Source organism: Homo sapiens, chromosome 4 (genome assembly GCF_000001405.40).
Source record: "Homo sapiens chromosome 4, GRCh38.p14 Primary Assembly".
NCBI classification, from domain to species: Eukaryota; Metazoa; Chordata; class Mammalia; order Primates; family Hominidae; genus Homo; species Homo sapiens.
The window spans coordinates 123,377,391-123,383,095 of record NC_000004.12 but is presented as its reverse complement, the minus strand read 5'-3'; the positions used below and the strand labels follow the sequence as shown (position 1 = coordinate 123,383,095).

Below are 5,705 nucleotides of genomic sequence, written 5' to 3'. Positions count from 1 at the left end.
CTGCCTTAAAGTTTTTTTCTGCATGGCAATTAAATGCATAAGAAACCTGTTTTTTTTTTCTGACTAAAAGGTACACCGTATAAAGCTCCTTTTCTTGTGCCATACTACTTACTAGTGGTGTCTTGATGAAGATGTGTCCAAAGAAATGAAATATTCAGCATCCCCTGTAATATAGAACTTTCCTCCCCCCATCTTCAATTTCCCACATTGTCACCAGGAGCAAAATCTTCAAGCATTTAGAGCCATTGCATTGGCCTTGAAATGTCTTGTATGATTTGTCAAGCAAGAAACATTTTCAGCCTCCAAGGGATTTATGTGATTAATAAAATTTTTCAAAGAAAAATGTTTATTAAAAATAAAGAAAAATCAAATGCCAGGGAATTTTTTTTTTTTTTTTGAGACGGAGTCTCGCTCTGTCGCCCAGGCTGCAGTGCAGTGGCACGATCTCGGCTCACTGCAAGCTCCGCCTCTGGGGTTCACGCCATTCTCCTGCCTCAGCCTCCCGAGTAGCTGGGACTACAGGTTCCTGCAACCATGCCTGGCTAATTTTTTGTATTTTTAATAGAGATGGGGTTTCACCACGTTAGCCAGGATGGTCTCCATCTCCTGACCTTGTGATCCGCCCGCCTCGGCCTCCCAAAGTGCTGGGATTACAGATGTGAGCCACCACGCCTGGCCCAGGGAATGTTTTTACATGGACATGTGGCTTCACTTTTTAACATGCATTTGTACCTTATTCAAGCTTTACCTCTAATTTTATATAGAAAACCTCATTAATACAGTGTAGATTTGCCTCCTTGCTACCTTAACTTTCTTTGCCTGTGGATATAGGTGAGTGTGTGTCTGTGCCTGTGTGCACTTGGGGATTTGAGGTTTGTGGGTGAAGGTATTTTGGTCACAGTCATTTAACCAGTCTCTAAGAGATTCCAAACATTCCATCAGCTTCCCGTCTTCTTCTGAGCCCACGAAACTCTTCCAGCGTCTGCCTGTTACCCAGTTCCAAAGCTGCTTCCATATTTTCAGGTATCTTTATAGCAATGCCCCACTGCTCGGTACTAATTTTCTGTTAGGCCGTTCTTGCACTGCTATGAAGATATACCTGAAACTGGGTAATTTATGAATATAAAGAAAATAAGTTCAATTTGCTTATAGTTCTGCAGGCTTTACAGGCAGCAAAGTGCTGGCATCTGTTCAGCTTCTACGGAGGCCTCAGGAAGCTTACAGTCATGACAGAAGGTGAAGGGAGAGCAGGCACATCATATGGCAAAAGCAGGAGCGAGTGAGAGAGCGGGAGTAGGGAAGTACAAGTGCCACACGTTTTTAAACAACCAGATCTCATGTGAACTCAGAGCAAGAGCTCACGTACCACCAAGCATGCATGAGGGGTCTACCCCCATGATCTAAACACCTCCCACCAGACCCCAACTCCAGCACTAGGGATTATACTTCAACATGAGATTTGGGTGGGGACACATATTCAAACTCTATCAAGGGGCACAATTAATGATTGTGCTGGGGCAATGGGTGTTGACTAGGACTATCCCAGGCACACTGGGATCTATGGTCATACTGCTCTGTCATCTTCTGTCACACCACACTGTCTTTCTAAGTGATCTCAGCACTCCCATGGCTTCTTTTTCATAATCATAACCAAATATCTCCAGCCTGGATTTAACTTTTCAGCATCAGACCCTCATAAATAAGTGCTTATTCTGTTTAGATGTTTTACAGTCACCTGTAACTTAGTAACTCCAAAAGAATACACATGATATCCTCTCTTCACATACACACTAAAATCTCCTCTTCTAGTGTTTCCTGTCTCTGTATAAGACACTACTGTTTACCCACTTGCTCAAATCAAAAACCTTCTCCTTACTCTTCATACCCCATCAGTTACCAAGATGACAGTTCTACTTTCTGTATCTCTCACAAGCTCTCCAGTAACACCACTGCCACAAGTCATATCAATGCTTACCCGAACTAGTTTACATGCTGTCGATAGTGTGATATTCCTGAAACACGAATCTGATCACTATTTTTTTTTTAACATAAAAACTCTTCAGTTGCTTCCCACTGTCTGCAGAATCCAATCCCAACTTGGTAACATGGCCTCAGATCACTGTGATCTGGCCCCTGCCTCTCTCTCCAGCCACACCTCAGTTCTTTATGCTGCAGCTGCATTGGAACTTTTTCAGTTCCTGGAGTGTGTCAAGGTTTTTCTAACCTCAGAAACTTTGCATGATATGTCTCCCTCAATGATATGATTATTAGATACTTTGTACTTCTTTGTAAAATTTTTCACAGTTGCAATTAATTATTTATTTAGAATAATTTGTTTAAAATCTGTCTTTCCTTCTAGACTATAAGGCTCCAGGATGCATCTGTTGTGTTCACCATTATACCACAGTCCCCAGCACAGTGCCCGAGGCTCAATCCATGTATGTTGTGTAATTAAACAAAGGATCTCTCTAATTCCTGGACTGAGTGGGGAAATTCAAATTACTTCTGTTTTCTATAATGATCAAGTCAACAAAGTAGCAACAAGAATTGTTAGTATATTTCTCTATTCAAATACATTTTTATGTCTTTTTTGGATGGGCTCATTGTCCCATCAGCAAAATAAGAGGAAGAATATCTAATACCTTCCCATTACACGTTATTTCCTCATTTGAATAAAGTTAAAAACATAAAGGTAGAAAGTGAGACAAGTCACAATCTAATTTCCAGATACTGAATTTTCACAAGCTGGAAGAATAAGATGTAACACGGTGATTTAGTAAGTCAGCTGTTTCCTTCCAGATTAGAGACAAATCACAAGAGTAAATGCTAAGAAAATTTTCCAATCAAATATTGCTAATCCTGTTGATTTCTAACATTCAAGAAGCCCAGAAAAAAAATCTAACAGTGGAGTTCTTTGTGTTTCTTCTTTAATGAGTATTTGGCAAAAAACAATGAAGTTGGGGAAAACATTTTTGAAGGCACAGAATCCAGTGTCCCTTGCTTACAAAGCAACCGTTGGGACCTGAAGTGATTGAGCATCTGTTTTCAATCTTGGGTCAAAATTTCTTTTAATCCAGGATGCAATTAAATCTCTAGTATGTGCAGAGATATCTATTTCACATATATAATTCCCTAGATGTTTAATTATAAAGTAGTTGCAATCATTTGCACAAATCAGTTCATATTATCTTATTTGACATCAGTTTACATGTTTGGGAAGGAGATAGATGTATGGAGCTCTGAGGTGGTGCTGGGCTGGGGGAGGACTTGTTTAATATCTAGGAGTTTGTCCCATTTCCTTCTTTTTCATCTCCCAACAAGGCTGGCTCTCTATCTTGCTTTTTCTTCTGGTACTAAGATAGGAAGTGGTAATTTTGTCAAATGTATGCATACTGTATTTGTAGTCACCCTAGCTAGGTCTGAGTTCTAAGGGAATTTCTTAAATTCTTTGTTAAAATATGAGAATTATTTTCCTTAAGCTATTAGTTATGCAGAAACAAACATTTACTTTAAAAATGAAAATTCCTTAACCCTGAGTAAGACAGGAGGAAACAGATTATATTCTCCATGTTACAACATTTATTTCATGTAATTTCCTCCTGTGAACTATTGTCAAGTATCTCGGGTTATTTTCAGAAGAAGAAAAACCTGAGACTGTTCTTCCTAATTTCATTTTCTCTAAACCCAAAGTGACATAAAGATATATATCCTCTATTACCACCTACATATTCCATAGTTATATCTTGGTATTCTACACTGTGGAGGCCAAGGCCCTTGGCCCCCTAACAATTCACTAAAAATCACTGCCACGAGTTAGACTGACTAAAAAGAGAAAAGGTGTACAAATTTATTTAACATGCATGAGAGCCTTCAGAATGAAGACCAAACTCCTCAATGAAGTACAGAAGCTTATATACCCTCCTGAGCTTACAGAAAGAATGCTGGCTCAGAGCATGGCCAAAAACAGTTGTTAGTGGCAAGACAGGTTATGGGAGGAAGAAAAGAAGAGGCTTGGTTAGTGAAGATGGCCTTGTTATGTAGATGAAGCCTCATAGGTAGCAGCCTTCAGAGAGTGTAGATGGTAAATGTTTCTTTTCAGACCTTTAAAGGTGTCAGACTCTTAGTTAATCTCTCCTACCTCCAGGAAAGGCCTAGAAAGGGAAAGTCTGGCTGCATTAATGGAGATTCTCTACTGATGCAAATTTCTCCCACAAAAGATAGCTTTGCAGCACTCTTCAGTCTGCTGGCCACGTGGCAGCCATTTCAAAAGATGTCAAAGAAATGTATTTTAGGGTAAAATATTTTGATTTCACTCAACACAAAGGTACAGAATCAAACAATATAACTGTGATTGTAGTAAAACTAACAAATAATAAAACTAAGAACCAGATATATTTCTGCTTGTGTTTGAAGCAGCAGCAAGAAAAAATGGAAATAGCAGCAAAAAATTCTTTTGCAAAGACAGTATCATCTGAAAGTCTCATTATACATTCTGTACACAATTATTTTATCTTGGTAAGGGATCTAAAATATCAAGTGAGCAGAGTTTTTATGAATACACTTTTCTAATTCCTGGTGAAGTCCTGAAACTCCGGAAGAAATAAAACAGAATAAAACAAAAAAAATTTGTGAGAGGGCAATTCATGAGCCTTGGCAAGAGATTGGACATGTGATTCGAAAAAGAGAAAGGCAACATGAAAGTTTTGAGCTAATAGAAGGTAGAGACAGTGTTAACCTGAATTTTAAACAGGGCTTATTTGGCAGGAAAATTTTAAAAATTATATTTGGTACACAGTGAGTCTGAAATTATATGGTGAATCCCATGAGAATGAGGTCTCTCCAGCAAACGCCAAAAATTTGGGAAAGTGGTAACACGTGATATTTGAGTCCTATGCATAGAGCAAAGTTGGATAAATCAGCAGAACCCATGAAGCAGAAAACAAAAGAAGTTGAATGCAAATCTTTAGGATTAAGGGGCTGTTCGTATATTCAGCAAAATACTGAGTGCCAAGTTTGCTCCAGAAATTGTGCTAGGCATTGAGGATATAAAGTAAATAAAAACTCAATCCCTACTTTCATGTACCTTACTGGTCTAATGGAGATGTTGTACAATAAACCAGAGTTTATAGCACAGTGTGGAAACATTGTTAGCAGGGTGCAAAGGGTCCTAACGGAGACACCAGCATCTGCAATAAGAATCATAGGGCTAGGGGTTTGGAGGGAGGAAAAGGAGAGGGAGGGGGCAGGCTTTCCTGATTAAGCAGAAGGGGCCAGAGAGTGACAATCTAGGAAACACAAACATGTTCCAAGTCATGCAAATTTGAGAAACCTTGATGGATTTCAAGAACTCTAAGTAGCCCAGTACTGCTTGTGAAAGGGAGTGTGTGAGATTTAGTGCCAAGAATAAAAAAACTCTTGAAGTGAAGACAAATGCTTATTTGCAGCAGAGAAAACTAAGCTGAGGTTAGCATCTTGCACAGTGCCTGGCACATTGTTAATGCTCAATACATATTAAAAGAGTGCATTAAAATTTGCAAAACACTCTTACACACATCATGTGGTATACAGAATCATGCTGCACCCCCAAAGAGGTCCATGTCCTAATCGCCAGAACCTGCGAATATGTTATGCTATATGGCAAGGGAGAATTACAGTTGCAGATGGAATTAATGTTGCTAATCAGTTGACCATAAAATAGGGAGACC

General features: G+C 39.1%; 1 annotated feature.

Moving 5' to 3' along the window:
- Window positions 3,733-4,451: an enhancer, noted in NCBI's record as "OCT4-NANOG hESC enhancer chr4:124299800-124300518 (GRCh37/hg19 assembly coordinates)". NCBI's record gives its function as "activates a minimal SCP1, AML or CMV promoter by ChIP-STARR-seq in naive H9 embryonic stem cells {active_cell/tissue: H9 hESC(naive)}" and the evidence as "EXISTENCE:reporter gene assay evidence [ECO:0000049][PMID:30033119]".